This window comes from Homo sapiens, chromosome 3 (assembly GCF_000001405.40).
Source record: "Homo sapiens chromosome 3, GRCh38.p14 Primary Assembly".
Classification (NCBI taxonomy): Eukaryota; Metazoa; Chordata; class Mammalia; order Primates; family Hominidae; genus Homo; species Homo sapiens.
Window position 1 is genome coordinate 68,258,689 of NC_000003.12, and position 23,700 is coordinate 68,282,388.

At 38.2% G+C, this 23,700-nt stretch overlaps 1 protein-coding gene and 1 long non-coding RNA gene across 14 annotated transcripts in view; both read left to right on the plus strand.

Moving 5' to 3' along the window:
- Window positions 1-23,700, plus strand: part of TAFA1 (TAFA chemokine like family member 1) — a 554,078-nt gene that overhangs the window by 267,145 nt on the left and 263,233 nt on the right. The window lies entirely within an intron of this gene.
- The window catches only part of LOC107986019 (uncharacterized), a 72,345-nt gene that overhangs the window by 12,071 nt on the left and 36,574 nt on the right, over window positions 1-23,700 (plus strand). For 6 of the 7 annotated variants that reach the window (XR_001740444.1, XR_001740446.1, XR_001740448.1 and 3 more), the window contains one exon: window positions 16,701-17,861. This is a non-coding gene — a long non-coding RNA (uncharacterized LOC107986019). Of the gene's footprint in view, window positions 1-16,700; window positions 17,862-23,700 lie in introns of those variants that run through there. The other variant, XR_001740445.1, reaches the window with a different exon arrangement.

Sequence of the window (23,700 nt, forward strand, 5' to 3'; positions counted from 1 at the left end):
CAATTTATGCCTAATATTGGAAATCTTCTAGTCCAACCTTACTGGGTACTTGTTGGAGTATCAGAAGAGGTTGAATATGTTTTTCCAGGTTCACTTTCTTCCTTGGGATGTCACAGAACTGAACTCTATCAGAAATATGCTAGGGCATGTTTTATTCTCTTCTGCATCTTCTGTCAGAAACAGCCAACAAGTGCCATTTTCAAGTCGCTACAGATCTCACCTAGACCCTTGGAAATATCAGGTTCTGCTGGATTCTGATCAAGAGTGCCCACGCAGTAACTTAGAATCTGACCAGCATGCCAGGACTCACATCTAGCTCTTCCCAAAGGCACACGTGGGCAGGGATTCTCAAATCATCTGGGGATGTCGATAAACCACAGATGCTGACTCAGTGAGTGTGGGGTGAGGACTGACACTCTTAATTTCCAAAAGCTCCCAGGTGCCACTGTGGGTCTTTGGGACTGCATTTTGAATGGAAAGGTGCTAGGGTATTTTTAATGACATCCTAACGAAATTATGCCATTAGGGATTTAACTGTGTATTCCACAGCTTTACTTTCCTTTTCAATTTAACCTCTTTAGTTCAACAATGTAACACTTGTGGAACTCCACAAATTAGGATGCAAAATGAACAAGAAAAGGGATTTAGTTTTAACTGAGATGTCCCTTCACAAGACATTGATAGAAAAAGTGAATTTATTCTTTTGGCTTAGGAGTGACTTGGCGATGCGGGCTCTTTTTTGGTTCCAGATGAACTTTAAAGTAGTTTTTTCCAATTATGTGAAGAAAGTCATTGGTAGCTTGATGGGGATGGCATTGAATCTATAAATTACCTTGGGCAGTATGGCCATTTTCACGATATTGATTATTCCTACCCATGAGCATGGAATGTTCTTCCATTTCTTTGTATCCTCTTTTATTTCATTGAGCAGTGGTTTGTAGTTCTCCTTGAAGAGGTCCTTCACATCCCTTGTAAGTTGGATTCCTAGGTATTTTGTTCTCTTTGAAGCAATTGTGAATGGGAGTTCACTCATGATTTGGCTCTCTGTTTGTCTGTTATTGGTGTATAAGAATGCTTGTGATTTTTGTACATTGATTTTGTATCCTGAGACTTTGCTGAAGTTGCTTATCAGCTTAAGGAGATTTTGGGCTGAGACAATGGGTTTTTCTAGATATACAATCATGTCATCTGCAAACAGGGACAATTTGACTTCCTCTTTTCCTAATTGAATACCCTTTATTTCCTTCTCCTGCCTAATTGCCCTGGCCAGAACTTCCAACACTATGTTGAATAGGAGTGGTGAGAGAGGGCATCCCTGTCTTGTGCCAGTTTCCAAAGGGAATGCTTCCAGTTTTTGCCCATTCAATATGATGTTGGCTGTGGGTTTGTCATAGATAGCTCTTATTATTTTGAGATACGTCCCATCAATATGTAATTTATTGAGAGTTTTTAGCATGAAGCGTTGTTGAATTTTGTCAAAGGCCTTTTCTGCATCTATTGAGATAATCATGTGGTTTTTGTCTTTGGTTCTGTTTATATGCTGGATTACATTTATTGATTTGTGTATGTTGAACCAGGCTTGCATCCCAGGGATGAAGCCCACTTGATCATGGTGGATGAGCTTTTTGATGTGCTGCTGAATTTGGTTTGCCAGTATTTTATTGAGGATTTTTGCATCAATGTTCATCAAGGATATTGGTCTAAAATTCTCTTTTTTGGTTGTGTCTCTGCCAGGCTTTGGTATCAGGATGATGCTGGCCTCATAAAATGAGTTAGGGAGGATTCCCTCTTTTTCTATTGATTGGAATAGTTTCAGAAGGAAATCAAACTATACTACAAGGCTACAGTAACCAAAACAGCATGGTACTGGTACCAAAACAGAGATATAGACCAATGGAACAGAACAGAGCCCTCAGAAATAATGCCGCATATCTACAACCATCTGATCTTTGACAAACCTGACAAAAACAAGAAATAGGGAAAGGATTCCCTATTTAATAAATGATGCTGGGAAAACTGGCTAGCCATATGTAGAAAGCTGAAATTGGATCCCTTCCTTACACCTTATACGAAAATCAATTCAAGATGGATTAAAGACTTACATGTTAGACCTAAAACCATAAAAATCCTAGAAGAAAACCTAGGCAATACCATTCAGGACATAGGCATGGGCAAGGACTTCATGTCTAAAACACCAAAAGCAATGGCAACAAAAGCCAAAATTGACAAATGGGATCTAATTAAACTAAAGAGCTTCTGCACAGCAAAAGAAACTAACGTCAGAGTGAACAGGCAACCTACAGAATGGGAGAAAATTTTTGCAACCTACTCATCTGACAAAGGGCTAATATCCAGAATCTACAATGAACTCAAACAAATTTACAAGAAAAAAAAAACCATCAAAAAGTGGGCGAAGGATATGAACAGACACTTCTCAAAAGAAGACATTTATGCATCCAAAAGACACATGAAAAAATGCTCATCATCACTGGCCATCAGAGAAATCCAAATCAAAACCACAATGAGATACCATCTCACACCAGTTAGAATGGCAATCATTAAAAAGTCAGGAAAAAACAGGTGCTGGAGAGGATGTGGAGAATTAGGAACACTTTGACACTGTTGGTGGGACTGTAAACTAGTTCAACCCTTGTGGAAGTCAGTGTGGCGATTCCTCAGGGATCTAGAACTAGAAATACCATTTGACCCAGCCATCCCATTACTGGGTATATACCCAAAGGATTATAAATCATGCTGCTATAAAGATACATGCACATGTATGTTTATTGCGGCACTATTCACAATAGCAAAGTCTTGGAACCAACCCAAATGTCCAACAACAATAGACTGGATTAAGAAAATGTGGCACATATACACCATGGAATACTATGCAGCCATAAAAAAATGATGAGTTCATGTCCTTTGTAGGGGCATAGATGAAACTGGAGACCATCATTCTCAGCAAACTATCACAAGGACAAAAAACCAAACACCACATGTTCTTGCTCATAGGTGGGAATTGAACAATGAGAACACATGGATACAGGAAGGGGAACATCACACACCGGGAACTGTTGTGGGGTGGAGGGAGTGGGGAGGGATAGCATTAGGAGATATACTTAATGCTAAATGACGAGTTAATGTGTGCAGCACACCAACATGGCACACGTATACATATGTAACAAACCTGCAGGTTGTGCACATGTACCCTAAAACTTAAAGTATAATAATAATAAAATTACAAAAAAAAGAAAGTGACCCCAGTATGAGATAATTTGAAATAAAAAAAAAAGAAAAAGTGAATTTATATCACCTACCTGCTAAAAGACTGATTTTATAAAATGATTTATTTATTTAGGTAGAATCATTTGTGATCCATGTTGAGCAAGTTGGAGAAACGCTCTCTGCTCAATCTCCAAGTGAACTAAGGGCTTTGTCAACTTGACCAAAATACCGTCCAATTTAGGGACTGTTTCCATTTGCTAGATAATCCTCTCAGTTTGTATTCTTGCTTTTTTCTCCCATTATGATTCACTAACTAGTGATTACCCAAACCCTAAGTCCTGGGTTTAGGATTTTTTTTTTTTAAATTTTCAGCTTTTATTTTAGATATGGAGGGTATATATATATATATATATATATATATATATATATATATATATATATATATTTCATGGGTATATTGAACCCAGCCAGGTAGTGAGCATAGTATCCAATAGGCAGTTTTTCAACCCATGCCTCCTTCTTCCTTCCCCCTTTAGTAGTCCACCATATCTATTGTTCCTATGTTTATATCCATGTATGCTCAATGTTTAGCTCCCACTTATAAGTGAGAACATGCATTATTTGGTATTCTGTTCCTGGGTTAATTTGCTTGGAATAATGGCCTCCAGCTCCATCATGTTGCTGCAAAGGTCATGATTTCATTCTTTTTTACGGCTGTGTAGTATTCCATGGTATATATGTACCACATTTTCTTTATCCAATTCACCACTGATGGGCACCTAGGTTGATTCCATATCTTTGCTATTGTGAATATAGTGGTGATGAATTTATGAGTGTGTGTGTCTTTTTAGCATAGTGATCTACATTCCTTTGTGTATATACCCAGTAATGGGGTTGTTGGGTCAAATAGTAGCTGTGAACACTTTTGGGACTGTGGTTAGGCCAGATGTCATGGTTCAAATGATGTTAGACATTAAATGTTGTACGCATTTTAAATCTTCAGATCTTATAAAGTTTTAATAATTTCTGTAGTTTTATTGAAAACATTGACACTGCTTATTTGAGTCATGGATTGTTATATCCATCTGGAAGGACAGTCACCCCTGATAGAACACAGCATTTTCTGTTAGTCAGCATAATACAGGTTTTTAGAGTATTACTCATGGGGTTGGAAGTTTGATTTTATTCAGAAATATTTTTAAGAGATGGTGTCTTACTATGATGCCCAGGCTGGACTCAAACTCTTAGTCTCAATTCAGAGATTCTAATATCCCTCACATAGGGTTTTGAACCCTGAAAATTGGTAAAAGTATACTTCTATGGTATAAACCAATATATTATACGGTGGAATTTCACTGTGATTTGCTAATACCTGACATACAATATGCTGTTTAGTCTCTTGAATAGAGACTAGTCTCATCCTTATATTTTGTCATTTTTTTGTGGAACATACACAAAAATTCAAATTTTTCATGTTCAAAATTTGACTATAATCCCTCTTAGGTAGAACAGATACTTTAACCACACACACATACACACACACACACACACACACACACACACACACATTTTGTAAGGGGATACTGAGGCCCAGGGACTTACTCATAGTCATGAAGTTACTGGCATTTGACTCTGGAAGGGGTGATAGAGATTTCATCCTATGACCTCGCTTTACAGAACAAGTAATGAAGCTGAGAGAGGCTGGGCCACTTGCTCAAAGAGTTACAGCAAGTGAGTGGAGGGGCGGGGGGCGGTCAGGACTCAAAGTCACCTATCTTGTCTCTCAATCCAGGATACCATCCCCTGCCATTCTCTGTCTCAGGCCAGCACAGCACTGGGCACCCAGCATCCTTAGTCTATGGTCTAGGTCTTTTTATTACACTATAAACCTATGTTTCGTGTATCCAAGCACACAAGGTGATTTGGGGAATACCATATTTAGACAAACATTGATTTTGAAATTATTCATTTACTTTAATGCATATCAATATCTGTGTATCTTCTATTTACAAATGAGAATGATTTGCCAAATAACAGCTATATAGAATTTTATTTTTTTAAATATACTCATTTCGGTCAAAATAAAGTAGATTTGAGGCTGGGCACAGTGGCTCATGCCTGCAATCCCAGCACTTTGGGAAGCCGAGGTGGGCGGATCACTTGAGGCCAACATGGTGAAGCCCCATCTCTACTAAAAACACAAAAAATTAGCCGGGCATGGTGGTAGGCACCTGTAATCCCAGCGATTCGGGAGGCTGAGGCTTGAGAATCACTTGAACCCAGGAGGTGAAGTTTACAGTGAGCCAAGATCACACCACCGCACTCCAGCCTGGGCAACAAAGTGAGATTCTGACTCAAAAAATAAATAAATAAAGTAGATTGAAAAAATAAACAATAGTTCAGGTCGTTTGTGGAGATGGCAAATATTGGGCACACAGATTATTGAAGTTTGGGAACTGTCAACATACATCCCTAACATCTTTTACCTTTTCATCACCATTTATGTGTCTGCAAAACTTACCTGGCTGTGGTTCTCTTATAGTCACTCCAGCCAATGAAATGGAAGCAACTGTGTGAAAACTACACCAGTTAACTTATAAAATTTCAATGACAGAGGATGGGTAGGTAGTGACCGCAAGAACACAATACATTCTGAGAAATGTTTCAATGTTATCATTTTAAAGTAAATCTTAGAATTCCTATTAGTGTAGAAGTAAACTAGCATTACCTATTTTGAGCTTAACACAGTCAATGAAAGTCTTTATCAATGAAAGTCTTTATAGAAAGTATATATAGATAATTTCTATAAAGAAATTTATATTCTATATAATTTCTATAAAGAAATTATAAAGACAGACCAAACTTTTGACAAAAATCTGCTTAAATTGCTTAAAACATATTTTAGTGATAGATAATTGTTTATTTCAAGACCTTCACAATTTGAGCAATTTAGTGTTGCATCTGAGAAGACAGAGATGGTCAGTTTTTTAAACAAATTTACATAAAAAGATATGTTAAGATTTTATTGATAACTATTAAGATCTGCTATAATAATATGTCTCTCCATATAGAATTCTCATATTTATGTGAAAATGTATGCAAAAATTGTGGCTTTTAATATATGAAATTTAAAAACTCATATACAATTTTGCTGGCAAAGCAAGATATGTGTTCAATTTAGTATCATTTCCATAATCCCAATTTTTATTTTCACCTCATCATGATTCTGTTAAACTTGGAAGCTCTTTTTAAAATAATTTCATCCAAAACCTTTTCTGAGGCTCTGATCCCTTAGATCTTGATCTCCTGTTTAATTTCCCTCAGCCATTAACAGGTGTGGATTTCATTTTCTTTGTCTTCCTTGCTAGGAAGTCTAACCACAGCATTCTCACTGTGTACTCCAAAGGGCCCTGGCCTGGCTGCTTTCTACATCAACCTAATATGTGAGGTCCTTTCATGTGAAAATGACTCTCCATCATCAGGGTCACCTCATTCATTCATTAAAGGTAATTTAGCACACTCACACAGCATCCTACCAAGACCAGCTTTTTGACTTTTGTCAAGGTTTATCCACATCACACTTGACATTCCTGGTGGGAATTTCTATGAATTCTGAAGCTTCAGAAAGATGTTTTGATATGTCCCACTAGGGGAAGGAACTTTTCCAGGGCACAGAGTGATATGAGGCCTGAACTAACTGGGTTCACCTCCAGGCCTGAGAAAGATGACATGAACCAGAAAAGCATGGCCTTACAGCTGGTTGGAAGGAGCCTGTCTTGCTGAGGCTCATTACAGAACTGGCGCAAGATACTCAGATCCGTTCATTCCCCTGGCTGTGAACTGTTGCGTACTGCAGAAGCTGAGTCAGCCTTCTACATCTGGGCTGCAGGTGTAGCCCAGACATGGCTAATTAAAATGCCAGGCCTTAGTGGTATAGGACTCTTTCTCTGGGGCACTGCACAGCTCTAGCATGTCATCCTAAAAGGTTTATGCCTGAAAGTAAAAGTTCAGAATATTAAGAAGAAAAAAAATTGTATAATCCCTGGAATGCTAATGTCTTGAGTTTCTAAATTGAACGGCACTGTCAGATTAGGCTCTATTGACATAGTCAGCAAGTTCTTATTCTTCTTGCCTGTGCCAGGCTGCTGCATGTCAGGACATAAAATGTTCCCTTCATAGGCAAAAGAAAGCACCCGTGATAAGTATACTATTAAGGAAAAGTGGTCAGTGTTCAGGCTGAGTTGAGACAGGAGTGGAATGTCATCTTTCTCATGTAGCGCGCTTTAATTTACAGCCAGGATGGTCATTTAAGCTTTTACACACTGTAATAAAGGTGTCCCAGCAGTTGGTAGAGAGTGAAGCTTGATCTTTGGCTTAAAAGAATGAGATTGAGATATAAAATACCTTTAATTGAAGAGATCTGTATCACAAGGGTTGTGAAGTTGAAGGTTTTATACGAAACATAACTGCTGTCTTTACCCAGAAGAGTAGATATAAACAGCCCGGTCCTAAGTAAATCTCTGACACCCCTTCACTACCATCCCGCATGATACTGGCATTTGGTTTGTTTTTCATGGTTTATAAGGGTTTTCACAAACAGAAACTCGTTTGATCTTTATACCTTTCTGGAAGATACAGTATTTTTATTCTCCCTTTACCGAGACTTGTTGCACATTTGAAATTCTGCATTTCTAGAACATAGGGCTGCAAACTATGTGATGTGGATTTAGGAGCATGGGGCATTGCAGGAGACACATAATAAAGGATCCGGGTGAGAGCAGAGGAAGACACAGTTCCCAGATGCTTGGCACATAGTGAGGATGGGAAAGGGAAGGCCAAAGAATCTGGCAGCTCTGGCTCAGCAGTTAACCTGTCTTCTGTGTTCCACCTCTCTAGAGGATGCTGCCCAACTCTCAGCGATAAGTATGTGGTTTTAATTGGCTTGTTATCATAATTTGAAGCTACGTGTCCTGCCTGACTAGTCTTTAATGAGGCACATCCACTCTTGGGCTCAGTCAAGCAAAAGAACCTTCGGTGGACTCCAGTTTCTCCTATGAATATTGCCAAAGGTACAGGGGGCTTTGGGTGCCAATAAAAACAGATTTCCCATTGATTGACTTCCTGCATGCAAATAATCCTCCTCCCTAGGGAACGCATTAACAAGAGAAAGCTGAGTTTCTCCTCACAACAAGTCAAGTTTATTCCGACTCATTTGTGTAAACTGGTCTATAGGAACACACAGATAAGACTTGTTGTGTTAATTAGCCTCATCTAATCATTCCACACTGTGGACATACATCAAAACATCACATTGTACCCCCAAAATACAATCATTATTTGCCAATTTTAAAACATTTGTAAGAAACTTACTGAACCCATACTTGTATGCTAAGCCCTTAACAAGTATCATTTTACTCAAACAAAACTGTTCTACTTAGGTTCCATGGTTGTCACATCATTATCATTTCAGACAAGGAGACCAAACTCCAGAAGTTTTAGTAACTCATATAAGTTATATGGAAAATGAGGTGTGAAGCCAAAATATGAGGTGCAGCTGTGGGAAACCAAGCCTGTGTACCTAGTGATCCCAAGAATTATCCCACCCTATAGATGGAAGTGCTTTTGATTGGTGCCCTGATTCAAGTAAATTTGTGCAGGGAATTTTTGGAGATTTTCCTTCATGAAAAGATAACTGATTATGTTGATATTTCTCTACGTCTTGAAAGTTTTGTTCTATCTTGCACAGGTTATTTGAAGGATTCTTTTTTTTTTAATATTTAAGGGAATGAAAAGATATAAGCCTTATATGGATCTATGCATGTTTTAACTTTTCAAGTCTTATATGACTCTATGCATGTTGTAACTTTTCAGTTCTTCTTTTTCTTTTCCTGTAAGCACATTTTCTGTGACTCCTCTTATTTCTTCAAATAGGTAGTCCACAATGGGAAGACTACTCGCACACGATAAATCTCTGCTAGACAATTGTCAGATAATTTTAAGGCTGCTAGATGCTACTATAAATACAAACTGGCAAAGATAACTTAGTTCTGGAGTTTTTCTTAGTCATGAACTCATTAGAAGAGCTATAGTCTCTTGCCATTGACAGCCCAGAGAATGCATTTTCCTTGTTCTTTGTGTTGAAAAATTTCTGACTTTGTTTCAAAGAGGTGTTAAGAGGTGAGGCATGTTTTCAGAATCATACTGTTAGTCTCTTTTATAACATCATCTTCCAAAAATAAAGTTCTAAGGTATTTGACTGCCATTCTGAGTCCTCCTTATTCTGAAAGGATGACCAAAGTTTTGGCTCTGAGAGAGAATATTCTAAAAAAGGACAGCTACTTCAGGATATAAGAAAATAAGAGGAGAGAGAGCACCATTTCAGTTTAAAGGAGGAAAGACATATTTTAAGATATTGCTGAAACTTTGACATTTTGAGTTTTAGCAGATTCAAACAGGAGACCAAAAACGTGTGGCCCCCGTGACTCAACTCATTGTGGGTGTGGAGACATGGATGGGGGGAGCCAGGCAGTTCAATTGTCAGCTAAATATTAGAGTCCTTGAGATATTTTCTTCCTGTGATATTTGACCTCTTTTTGATGGGTATTATCATCATTTTTTCTCCCCCACTGGGAGAAAATATGGTGAAGGAAATGAAAGGTGAAAGGGATAGCAAAGAAAAGAATGGATGAATAGTGGGTAGAGACCAGGCACCCTGACACAGGGAAAACAGGGTCAAACGAAGCCCTTTGGTTTTCTTCCAGAAACCTAAAAATATCCACCTCTTGCCTGATTGACATTTCCACTCTGCTTGCCTTATGCATGTGCTGTAGGGGCTGCTAATGTTGCTTAACTCACATGCTCCCTGCACTTTTCTGCTGTTAGAAAGAAACCAGTCAGTTGGGTAATCATGATAATTAAAAAAGATGTAAACTTTCAGAGTGGCTGACACAAACTCATTACACTAAGCTGTCTTGCCTGACTGAACTAACATTAATTCCAATACCCCATTACATTCTGGCATGTAAGAATTTCTAACTAATGTGGATATTTCTTCCTTCATTTCCTTACCCAACTCTTCCCTACCTTCCTTCATTCCTCCCTTCTTTCCTTCCCTTCTTTCTCATCTCTAACACATTCCCATTGATGCTGATGCTGCCTGTCCAAAGAACAAACTTTTGCTGAACTGTTTGAGGCTAATTCTCCCAAATTGTAATGTGCATATAGATCATTTGAGGGTCTTATTAAAGATGCAGATTCTGGTTGGGTGCATTGGCTCACTCCTGTAATCCCAGTGCTTTGGGAGGCCATGGCAGGAGGATTGCTTGAGGCCGGGAGTTTGAGACCAGCCTGAGCGACAGAGTGAGACCCTATCTTTACAATTTCTTTTTTAAAACTAGCTAGGCATAGTGGCACATGCCTGTGATCCCAGCTACTCCAGAAGCTAAGGTGGGAGGATCCCTTGAGCCAAGAGTTCAGGTTATAATGATGAGGTTACAATGAGCTATGATTGCACCACTGTACTCAAGCCTGGGGGATAGTGTGAGACCCAATTCTAAAAAATAAAAAATACAAATTCTGATTCAGTAGGTCTGAGGTGAGACCTGAGACTTTGCCTTTCTATGAGTGTTCCAGGTAATGCTGATGCTACTGACACCAGGGCAACACTTTGAGAAGTTTCAAGACAATGGTCCACACATTTCCAGTGGGATTAGAGATAATAACTTTTGGCCAGGAGTGATGGCTCATGCCTATAATCCCAGAACTTTGGGAGGCCAAGATAGTGGGATCACCAGAGGCCAGGAGTTTGAGACCAGCCTGAGCAAAATGGCAAGACCCTATTTAATTTTTTAAGAGAATTAAAAACAGGTAACATTTTTAAAAAGAGAGAGAACCAGTTTTAATGCACAGCAACCAACCAATTTGAAGGATTCTTTTTTTAATATTTAAGGGAAGGAAAAGATACAAGCTTTATATGACTCTATGCATGTTGTAACTTTTCAGTTCTACCTTTTCTTTTCCTCTGAGTACATTTTCTGTGGTCGAACCTGTTACTCAGATGTGCATTTGGTGAAACAATTTCTATGCCTACCTTGGAAAGTCTGTGCCCCTTTCTTCAGGCTAAAAGGCATGCTGCAGGAAACCACATCCAAATGTATTCCTCCCTTTCTTTGTGCCAAAGAGTTGGAGTTTCTTAGAACTCTAGATTTTGACGGAAGTAGATTTCAATATCTGCTTCATCACTATCTATACAAGTTCCGGCACTAACTGATTGCGCCACTGGAGCTCCAGCTTCATCACTTTCTTAATCCCTCTAAGCCCCTGTTTAGAATGAGGTTGAAATGGTGGGTACTCAGTGGGGTTGTGGAGGGGCTTCTATGACAGATTATCAGAACATGGGGGTTTATAAATGATAGCTTCTAATATTTTGAGATGACTCTTGTTGCATTTGGTGTGTTTGTGTCCAGAAGAAGACAGAGCATCCTCAAACCTCTTATGTTGCCTACACTTGAAGTTAGAAAATATTTGGTTTTATGTGGACCAAAAACCAGACCATTCTTATGTAAAATGTGAAGACTCATTGATGTTTTTATGCAGCATCGATTCCCCTGTCAGGGAAATCATTTGGGATTTGCTTATTGTTATGTGTAAAGAATTTATGAAAAGGACCAGGTTATCTGTGGACCCAGGATGAAAGTATAACCTGGGTCTACCAAAAGGCTCTTCCAAACTCAAGTACCCTTCCTTTTGGCTGGAGCTACCCTCATTAATTAGAGCTGATCCTGTGGATGAAGGAACAAGAGGGAAGGTCAAATATAACTTCATTTTCTAGAGGGTGTGCCTGACTGGCCCACTGGCAGCTATGAGATGTATTATGGATTAAACAGAAGACAAAAATCAAGCCTCAATTTAAAGTTTATTAATGAAGCACCTGGGGGGCATTTAGCATACATGAGCTTTTGTTTTTTAAGAAAGCTGACAGAGTGATGAAAAGATAACAATTTTTGTTTCCATTGAAGACTTCTTAAAAACATTGATTTTCCGTCCATGTTAATCAAGACTCTTTGTGGAAAATGATAGAAACCCAATCTAAACTGCTTAAGCCGAGAAAAATAGGTAAAATTTATTGGGTTAACTAACTGAAGTTTGCAAAGTTGTAGCTGATTTGGGACATGACAGGAGGCAAGGGGTCAAACAGCATCAAATTCTACCCCACCCTGCCCCTTCCCCCTTCCTCTCTTGGTGCTGCTTCCTCCTGGATTGGTTTTAAATTCAGAAAACATCTCTTCATGAGGGTGCAAGGATGACCATTAGCCACTCCTCCAGGCCTATTTTCCTCCAGGTCATTCATTCCAACAAAACACCCAACTCCTGCTTCCCAGCTGGACCCACAGAAGCCCTAGGATCACATTTCACAGGCCTGGCTTTGCCTTACTCACACTCCATAACCAATCATATTGTCCAGGGGATGGAATTGTCCACCTCTAATTGGCCAGGCCTGGGCCACATCAGCCCCACTCAACCCACGTAACTGAGAATGCAACAAGGATGATTTCCCTAGTAAAACTGGGGTATTATTCCAAGAAGAAAGAAAGAATGTTGGGTGGGAAAAACAGCGATTTCTAAGAACCCAAAGGGAGTAAAATGACACGTTCCTTATAGAAACTTGGACAAGAGATAGAGAGTCCCAGGTTTTGCAACAAAGTTATGATGTTGAGAAACGTTTTCTGATGTTTGTCACAATCACAAACGAGGTGTTTGTGTCGAATACCCCACAGTGTCCAAAGAGTTAATATTTCAGAGGATGGGAGTTGGGGAAACATTTGGAAAACATCCACCTGTATTTCATCTCCCCCCTTCCATATTAGATTTTTCTCTCCCTGTCTCTTTTGCCTCTTTGTCTATCTCTCTCTCTCTCTCTCTCTCACACACACACACACACACACACATTTAAATATATACAATGAGTTTATTCACCTCAGAAGCAGGGATGTGACACCAGCTGGAGGGTTTCACTAATATGATTGAAATATGGTTAAGTGATTTTCAAGTATACAGTGATTTGCACTGTGTAACTATAAATAGATGCTCAGGGGGAAATTCTCTTTCCCCGATCCTATTGACTTATGGCAATGTATGTGGAGATCCAAGCTCTGAGCAGAGTGAAATATGCCTTTGTATTGCAGTTGCTTTCTGCCAAAGATAGAAATCACTTTACAGAAAAAGAGCCTTATTCCCACCAGGTGAAAAGCTGCTCTTTTGTAATAAAACACAATCCTCTGGAAAACCACGTTAGCTTCTGTGTGCTGCTGGATCTTCATTTAGGGAGGCAGCGTAGTAGCAAGAGCTTAAAATGTGGGCATCCATCTGCCCTCAGCTTGTTCTCTTGCTTGGCCTTTTCTTTCCTTGGTGACATTACCTGCTTAGCTTGTCAAACCCAAGCTTCCTTGTTTCTTCAAAGATTTGACAAATTTACCTAAAGCATATGGGGTTATGAGGATGAAATAAGATAAAACACGTAACATGGGGCCTGGCATATCATAAAATCACTAAAGAATTGGTGATGGATGAATATATGGTTATTGAGTATAATGGGATGCAATAAATGGAACATAATGATTCAATGCAAATTAGGGAAAACAGCACTTTTATTCTGTTTTTAAGAAACTGGACTTTTTAAAAAGAAAGGTATTAAGAATACCAGCAGTTTTTGTGACACTTGTGGAAATTCATCTGCCTGGGCGTAGTTTCCTCATCTATGAAAGAAAATATTCAAATAGGATCTAAAATTCTCAGGAAAACATTCCTGTGGGTTTAGTTTTCATACATTGTAAGGACATCCTAAATGGTTTCAAGCCAAAGCTAACCTTAAAGTCAGGCCAAGCAATGAGCAGGTAGTGGCAGAAACTACTAAAACATTAAAATTGCATTTCTTTTAATACCTGTATCTTCATATAGTTAGAAACTGAGCTGGACAGTCAGAGCTTTGAATTCAAATCCCATTCTTTCTTTTTTCTTTTATTCTACATGAATGAACTGAGGGCCTGGCCTGGCCTGTTCTGTCCGTATCTCTATGCTATCCATGGGAGTTGTATTTTAATTGGTGGTGGTGGGGGGGAATAAAAATAAGTAACCCAAAATAAATAACTGCAAATTATGCCACAGGCTATGAAAAAAAGAAAGCAAGCAAGGAAACAAATATTAATACAAATGGTGCCAGCCTCATTTTCATATAGAAAGGATTCTATAAGCTAAGGTGTATGAGTAAAAGCCTTCAACCATGTGAAGGGGAAGAAGGAAAGCACTCCAAACAGAAGGGAAAGCAAGTGCAAAGCCCCTGGGGTAAGATGTATTTGAAGACTAAATGACCAGCATGGCTAAACTTTAGCAAGTCGGGGACAGTGGTAGAAGTTGCAGTTGGAGAAAGGAAGAGGCCAGATCACACGTGGCCTTGTAATGTGTTGTCAGAGCTTGCATTGTCCTCTTTGTGTCTTGCAAAGGACACATTTAAAAAATAAAATGTTTTATCTTATTTCATCCTCATAACCCCATATGCTTTAGGTAAATTTGTCAAATCATTGAAGAAACAAGGAAGCTTGGGTTTGACAAGCTAAGCAGGTAAGATTACCAAGGTAAGAAAAGGCCAAGCAAGAGAACAACCTGAAGGCAGATGGATGCCCACATTTTAAGCTCTTGCTACTACTCTGCCTCCCTAAGACTAATAGAAATTGTGATTTGAAACCACTCTTGCTTCTGTAAATAAACAAGAGAATATAAGAATGGAAGCTAGAAGATCAGTTAGGTATTTCTCAGAGAAATCCAGGGTAGAGACAACGGTGAGCTAAACTAGGTGGTAATAGTATAATGCACAGGAAGAAATATTCCAGTCTTATCCCTGGCTGTGTGACTGACACCAAATTCCTTTTTAAATCCCTAGGACTCAGTTTCACTGTCCGTAACATGAGCAGGTACAACACAATCTCTAAGGGACTCGTATGTCAACATTTTATTCTAATTTCTAAAAATCTCTAAGCCAGACCAACTCTTTTGTTAAATTTACATGGCTTTGATGCACTGATTTGCTCTTACCAGCTTTCTTGCCAGGCCCTAGGGTAAAGATATGAGATTACCTGCCAAGAAATAAGAAATGAGTGCAAGTCTTATTAAGAACTGTGGGAGTTGGCTGGCCTTGAAATGGCATTATCTTTTCTGTTTTACGCTTAGGGTGGTTTCAAAACAGTCTATTCAGTTGTGTGCATGAATTTCCAATTCCAAATTCAAACTACAAATTTCATAAACCCAGATTCTGAATGTTAAGTTTCATTTTATGCTGTTTAGGATGATGGTTTTCATGAAGAAGGACAAAAGATTAAAAAGAGCTATGATGAAAGTTTTATTAAATGAAGGATTCAAAAGAGAAAACTCTCCAAACCCCATCCAACATTTTTCTGTCTAGTGTTCAGAGAAAAATGGTAAATTAATAGAAAAGCAAAACAGTGTGGGATGCCAATACATTCAAGAAAAGCCAAAGTTCATTTCTGCCTGCAGATTCAAACACTGCTGGCAGATCAATGTGAGCTTCACAGTGTGGTTTGCAAAAATCGTTCTGCAGCTAATATCCTCAAGGACAAGACACAGCCTGCTTTGGCTACTCTTCAGAGTTTGCCTGAATTGCTGTGGGAAGCAATATTTTCCACTGGGAGGACTTTGGAGCCTAGATAGTTATAGCACCCATAAATCAAATCATCAAGATTTCACAAAAGTAGTGAGGATTTTTGGTGTTTGTTCCCCCGCCCCGCCCCCGCCCACATGTAACTGTGTGGTGGGGGCTGCCTGTCTAGCATGTGTATCATTAGCCTTACTCAGAAGTCTAATGTGTGCTTTAATTTAATGAGATGCGACTGCTTGTGCATTCTCTCTCTCTGTTTCTCTTTCTTTCTTGTTTTGCTGTTTTCTCTAGAAATGATTCCATTACCAAAGGACATTATTTTCGTCATTTTGTTGTTGTTGCAAAATTAACATAGACCATATACAATTTGCAAAACAGAAGCATGGTCTGGGTGGGACAGTGAAGTTCATATTTCTTGACATAGGCAGGCAAAAAAGAGATAAGTTATATTACATGTTGTATTATATTTTATTTTTAAAAATTAGTTTTAAGTTTGCAGGATAAAGTTAATTGAGATATATATATATTAATATGTATTTGCTGAGCACATCTAACGAAGAATTTATGGCAGGTACTGGGGTGATAGCAGTGAACTAGAAAGCAAGAGTCCTTCCTTTATAGGTCTAGGACTAAAAGAGGAGGTAAGCAAAATAAGCAAATAATTAAAATGTAATAAGTAATGTTGGGGAGAAATATGGAGGGCAATCTTTGTGGGGGAGTGAAAGATGTCATATTTAAAGATAACTGCCAAGGGGTAGGAATAAAGGAGAGATGTCCAAAGGCTTCAAAAGAATGTGTTCTCTTGAAGGTGCAGAGCAAAACCAGTGTGGCTGGAAAGGAGAAAGAAGGAAAGGGGGCTTCAAGCAAGATCATGTGCATTGTCAGACTTCAGATCATCCAAGGCCTTGTAAGATTAGGGGACTTTTTTTTTTTTTTGCATAAGTCATAAAGAAATCACTGTGGGGGAATCAAACACTAAACAGGTATGCAAGATAATTTCAGATAAAGTATATGAAACAAAAATGGGATAGAGCAAGTTTAGAGGAGATAATGATGAGGAATGTCCTCTCTGAGGAGGTGACATTTGAACGGAGACCTGAATGGGACAAAAGGGCTAGTGGAGAAGAGATCTGAAGAAAGAGCATTTCAAGCATTAGAGTAAATAGGGCAAAAATCAGGAAGCAGGACTGTGCTGTTTGTTTAATACACAGAAAGAAAGAAATGGTTAACTGGAATTTGGACTCGGGACTTGAGTTCAAATTCAAAGTTATTTATGCTGCCCCCAAATGCGACTACCTAACTGAGCCTGCTGTTTGCTAAGGATTAGGGGCTTTCTCTGTTTCACTAGATGGTAAGTACCTGAGCATAGGGACCATGTCTTCCCACTTATTTCTGCAAACTTAGTATCTGGGCCCTGTCTAGTACCTGTTAGACTCTCAGTAAATATTCATTGAATGAAAACATCTCTACAATTACAATACCCTGACTGTATATCTACTGTTAAAATTCTAAGACTAGAAAAAAACAATTTAAATGTTGAAATTCAGTCAGCCAATTGGTAATTTAATAACCCAACTAAAAAAAAAAACCCAGAAGACAAAATAGTCAAACCATTTCTAAGAGTAGCTGCAGACTAAATAACAAGAAAAGAAAAAAATTATCTAAAGCAACGCTTCTCAACGTCAGTGCTATTAGCATTTGGGGCTGAATAATTCTTGGTCATGGGAGCTGTCCTGAGCATTATTTAGTGGCATCGTTAGTCGCTACTCAATAGTTACTGGTAGCATTCCCCTCTTGCGACAACCCAAAATGTCTGCAGACATTGCCAGATGGCCCTATTGAGAACACTGGTATGAAAGTATTAATGCCATGCCACTTTCTAAAATGTTGCAGAAGTTGTTGTGCCACCCAGTGGGTTTTCAGTTGATTTGTGTGCAAAGTTTTACCAAGAGGTATGATAAATATGTCCCCTGAGTTGAAATACTGTGTATCGTACATGCATTCTTAGCAGAAAACAAAGTTGCTTAATATTTTATTGTTTCTAATGGTTTCTGATGAGACATCCATCAATGTAAAAGAAACCAGTTTCTTCTAAGTTTTACTTTATAAATATGTAATATAATTGTAGAGTAAACCTCCTTTATCATCCTGATGGAGGATCAGACTAATATCTGTCTTGAGTTTTATCAGGATTTTATGCTATTTTTAAAATAGTTTGTGGAGGGAGGGAGGAGGAAAAGGTTTGATATGCAATATGTTAAAATCTGTAGAATAACACAGTTCCACTTCATCAAGCTGTACCATATAGCTTTCCTATACAGTTTTAATAATTTTAAAAATAACTTTTTTCTGATTTTAAATATTCAAAGAATATAGTCAAGTATACAAGAGGAAATTAAAATCATCTATAATCCCACAATTGAGAGATAAGTATGTACATTATTCTTTCATGGATTTATTTATTCCTCCATGAAATTATGTGCCAGGCACTGTGCTAAGGCTGGAAATACATGAGAACAAGATATATAAGTTATCTCCTTATGTAAAACCTACTTGCATATATATTAGTGCATACATTAGAATGTGTATTCCACCTTTATTCATACCAGAATCATACCAGGACACCTAGATAGTTCAGTAATGCTTTGGCTGGCAATCGTTTGGCTGTCAGTGAAGAAACCTGAAAAACATTAACTTAAACGTTAAGGATATTATCTCATTTGCATAAGAAATTTGAAAGAGAGTCAACCAGGGCTGATGCTCTGAATTTATACTTCTATCGATTACTCAGGATCCTTCTGGCTTTCTATTGTGCCACTTCTAAGCATGGAACCATTGGTTCTAAGCTTGCAAAACAGCTTCTCCTTCTTAAGGTATTTCTCCAGGTTCCAGACTGGAAAAGGGGGAAAAGCCAAAGGAAAAAAAAAGGCAGGTGCTCCCCGAATCTGAGCTCATAAAAGAGCTTTCTCCAAACTTAAGAGTTTTCTCAATAACATCCATTTATATGTTATTGTTTGGAACTATTTCACATGGACCCCAAGATGCAAAAGATAGAAAAAATAGAACAAACTTACATTGAGTTAAAAGTGATGGACAGCCTTCCAAAAACAGATGTAATCCTTGCCTCCTTCTCTGAAATAACAACTAAAGGTTTAGTATCAGACTTCTAGATTCTTGTCTAAGTGTAGAGAGATACGCACAAAAGCATTGAGGTCATCTTTCCATCCCCATTAAAAGGGGATGATAGACATTTTCCTCTACTCAACAATATATCGTGACAACTTTTCAGGTCAATACATTTAGCCATAAGTCATTTAGAAATAATTGTACAATAGTCCATGCTATGAGCAAATCACAATTACAAAACTGTCCCATCGTAACATAGATTCTCTCAAAATTATTGTTATTACAAATAAAGCCCAGTACATCTTTATACGGTATCCTTACACAAATGAGTGACTTTTTCTGTAGATAGGCTAGAAATAGAATTGCCAGGTCAATATGTGTGAAGCATGTTTAAACATTCTAATGGGTACTCTCAATTGCCTTTCAAAAAGGCTGTAATTATTTACAGTCTCACCAACAGTAGCTGTGAGTTTCTTTCTCTCTTCATTCACACCGACAATGGATATTATCAGTCTTAAAAGACTGGTAATGTTTCCTAACTTTTCAGGCAATAATATGTCTCCAGATGGATTTATTTCCAAACTGTTTATATAAAGAATTTCACATACACTCAAAAGTAGAACAAATAATATAAACTAAGAATCCCACTACCCGTCACCCAGCTTCAATAATTACCAATATATTGCCACACTTGTTTTAGCTGCACAGAATTTAATCATTTTTCTATTTTTGCTACCATCCCTTTTTTATTTTGGAGGGAGGCAGGTTGTTGTTCATCTTTTACTTCTTATTCTAGTAAGAATTTTGATTTCCTCATAAGTCCTATGTATTTGTCTTAAAGCTCACAGCCATGCATCAAGTTTTCTGTCTAGTGCAGAGATAGTGCCATCACTTTCCCCTTCTGCGCCTGGGTAGATAGTATTACTTGATCAATATATCTTTTAGCTGTAAGCCCAGGTGTCCCCTTGCACCTTTTCTTAGCACAGTGCTTTATACCTATGGTTCTCAAACTTCAGCATACCTAAGAATCACCTGGAAAGCTTGTTAAAATACACATTCCCACACCCACCACCCCCATAGATTCGCATTCAGTAGGTCTGGGATGGGAACTAAGATTCCATTCTACATTTCTAGCAAGTTGCCAGATGACACAGATTCTGCCTATCCACACACCATGGTTTGTTAGCATTGTTCTAGACCAGTGCTTCCAAATTTTAATGTATATATGAATCACTGGAGATTGTGTTCCAATGCAGATTTTCATTCAGTAGGTCTGCTTCTGGCCCTGATATTTAGCTTCTCTAATAAGTTCCAGGTGATACTGCTGGATCATAGACTAAATTTGAGTATCAGGTCCTCAGTGGCCACTACTATGCAGAGTTGGTTGTGAAGTAAAATTAATCAGCCATGTCTAACCTAGAACCAAGGCCTTCCTTGACCTCAAAGTTTCCTAAATATCATTACATAGACTAGAACCAGGATAGCTAAAAAATATTCAACTGAGAAACTTTTCTTAAAACTCAGATTTCAAGTCTGTGCAATGAGAAATTGTCCTTCATGAGAAATTTGGGGAGGGGTCCAGGAATCTATTCTTTATACAGTTCTTTTGCCAACCTTGGAGCCCAGGTAAGTGTGGTAGCCACTACTTTATGCTTCTTGGATGATGCACAGGTGTTCATTCTTGGATTCATCTGATCCCTCACCTAATTATTAATCTTATCAAGATAAAAATGTTGACACTGACTTTTTACATGACTACATTAGATACTGTGGGTCATACAGAGATGAATTAGGGACAGATTCTACTTCTCTAGACCTGATAATCTGGTGAAAGAGATTGATGTAATAATACATAGTCACTACTATGGGAAGTCAGGGCAGAAAACCTGTTTCCTCTCCTTCTCGGTATCCTCCTTCCTGAAACTTAAATTAAAAACATTTGCTCAAGAGGAAATTTCCCATTTCAAATAGAAATCTCATAAAAGCATAGAAATGCCAAGGAGATAGTTTTCTATGTAATATTAAGTCATAATATGGGCTTTGCTCTTGGGTGGCGTTCCCAGATACTAGCTAGGTTTGTAAGTATAACACAACATGTGCATTACACAGTACATATAACAGTGGGAAAATGAATGCCACCTAGAGAACCATAACTTTTGTCATTTCTTGACTTTGGAGAAATTTCAATTTGTAGCCTTAATGATATACAACTGTAGATTTTTCCATTTTAAGTAATATGCTGATTGGAGTCTTGCATAGTGTTCTTATTTTCCCAAATTCTCATCCTATACAAAATTCGCAAATTCTTGTATTCCCAAATTATCATTTCTATACAGAATGTAAAAATTCTAATAAAGCTAATAGTGTAGGTCATATATTTACTGTCTGCTGAATGGGGCTGTTCACTGTCATTAAGATTCTGAAAGAAGCACTTGAGAAAACAGGATAATGGAGAAGAAAAAGCTGTAATCAAGCATAAAAGGACTTTTAAAAGGGGGAACTGAGACATCTTTCAACAGTGACCTTTATAACACTGATACTGGACTGAGACTATAATTGTCCATCACTCTTTTCAATGGTCAATACTCTGCTCACCACAACTCATTCTTTCAATACCATTGATCCGTTTAACAACCCTGGCTGGCAATCTCTCTTTGTAAGTTACAAAGTTAGTGACATTTATTCTGCCCTGTTTGGTGGTTCATTGTTAGGCAGTCTCAACATTGTATGTCTTGATGAGTGCAGTCTGGTAAGTGAATTAGGAAAATTTTCAGATGGTAAAGACCGCTTTTTAGGCAGGATATCATATGGTTAAAGGGAAGCATGGTATAAACCAGCGGCTTCACATCATTACAAAACAACCCTACCTCCACTTTTAAAGAAATTGACCATGCATTGAGTGGACTTTTGTTTTTTTTTTCCCCCTTCTGCACAGTGGGATGATTAGAAAGATTTTAATTTGAAGGAGAACCCAAATTATATCACTTTCATGGATCTAAAAATTTGGGTCACGGGACTTCAGGGATTGGAGAGAATTGCAAAGATGGAGATGCAATTTGCTTAAGTTGTTCCAGAAATAGGAATCACATGACAATAATAAAACTGCATTTACTCTCAGGATAATAACCAGTTTCTTCAGATAAGTTCAGATCTTGGTTCTTCTCAACTTTGTGTTCTTAGGCAATTAGTCTTATCCTCTCTGACACCTAATCTCGCTACTTTTTAATGATTATAACACCAGTATCTATTTTAAAAAGTGTTTTAGAGAATTAAATGAGATAATATTTAATAAACAGTATTTATAATAGTGTTCTTTATGATGGTATGCAACTTATTTCTTATTCCTATGGAATATTCTTATGGAATAAGAAATCCATTAAATTTCTAATAAAATATTTTACAATAAGTTATCATTTTAATTTTTTATTTACATTGTTCCTTTTGATTCTTACAACAGCCCTGTACAATAGGCATGATAAATCTTTTAACTGAGGTTTTATAGATAAGTAAATTAAGTCTCAAAAGGTTAAAGGGAAGAATGGATATAAACTGTCAGCCTCATACATTACAAAACGACTTAAAATTCCACAAAAAGAAAATACTATACCATGTTTTTTTTGAGATTATCTTTATACCATGTTAATATTTTATTTTCAGTGTTTTAAAAATCAGGACTGCTGAAAGCATGGTAGGATATCAAGCTCTAGGAGTAGTTATTTAAGATAGTTTGATTTTGCTGGGCACCAGTTTCCACATTAACCTTTTTTTTTTTTTTTTTTTTGAGATGGAGTCTCACTCTGTTGCCCAGGCTGGAGTACAGTGGTGCGATCTCGGCTCACTGCAACCTCCACTTCCCAGGTTCAAGTGATTCTCCTGCTTCAGCCTCCTGAGTAGTCGGGACTGCAGGCGCATCCCCACCATGCTCAGCTAATTTTTATATTTTTAGTAGAGACAGATTTCAGGCTGGTCTCAAACTCCCGACCTGAAGTGATCCACCTGCCTCGGTCTCCCAAAGTGCTGGGATTCCAGGTATGAGCCACCGCGCCTGGTCCCATGGGAAGTTTTTACATTGCGTGGGATACTTAAAAGAGTGGATGCATTTGTGGCACCATTATTCACTTTTTTGACTTCCTTATAATAAAGGATTGATATTTCTGATCCACAGAAGAGAGTGGAATCATTGTTTTAGTCCATTCTCACGCTGCTAATAAAGACTTACCTGAGACTGGGTTATTTATAAAGGAAAGAAGTTTAATTGACCCATAGTTCAGCATGGCTGGGGAGGCCTCAGGAAACTTACAATCATGGTGGAAGGGGAAGCAAACATGTCCTTCTTCACAAGGTGGCAGCAAGAGGAAGTGCTGAGCAAAAGGGAGAAAGGCCCCTTATGAAACCATCAGATCTCATGAGAATTCACTCACTATTACAAGAACAGCAGCATGGGGGTAACTGCCACCATGATTCAATTACGTCCCATTGGGTCCCTCCCATGACACATGGGGATTATGGGAACTATAAATCAAGATGAGATTTGGGTGGGGACACAGCCCAACCATCTCAATCACTTTGCTCTCTTTTCATTCTTGATGACGGTGATCATGGACAACAGGCATTGCACACTTACGACGGATCAGGCACTGTTCTGAGTACCTTGTGCATCCTTGTGCATAATCCTTCCAATG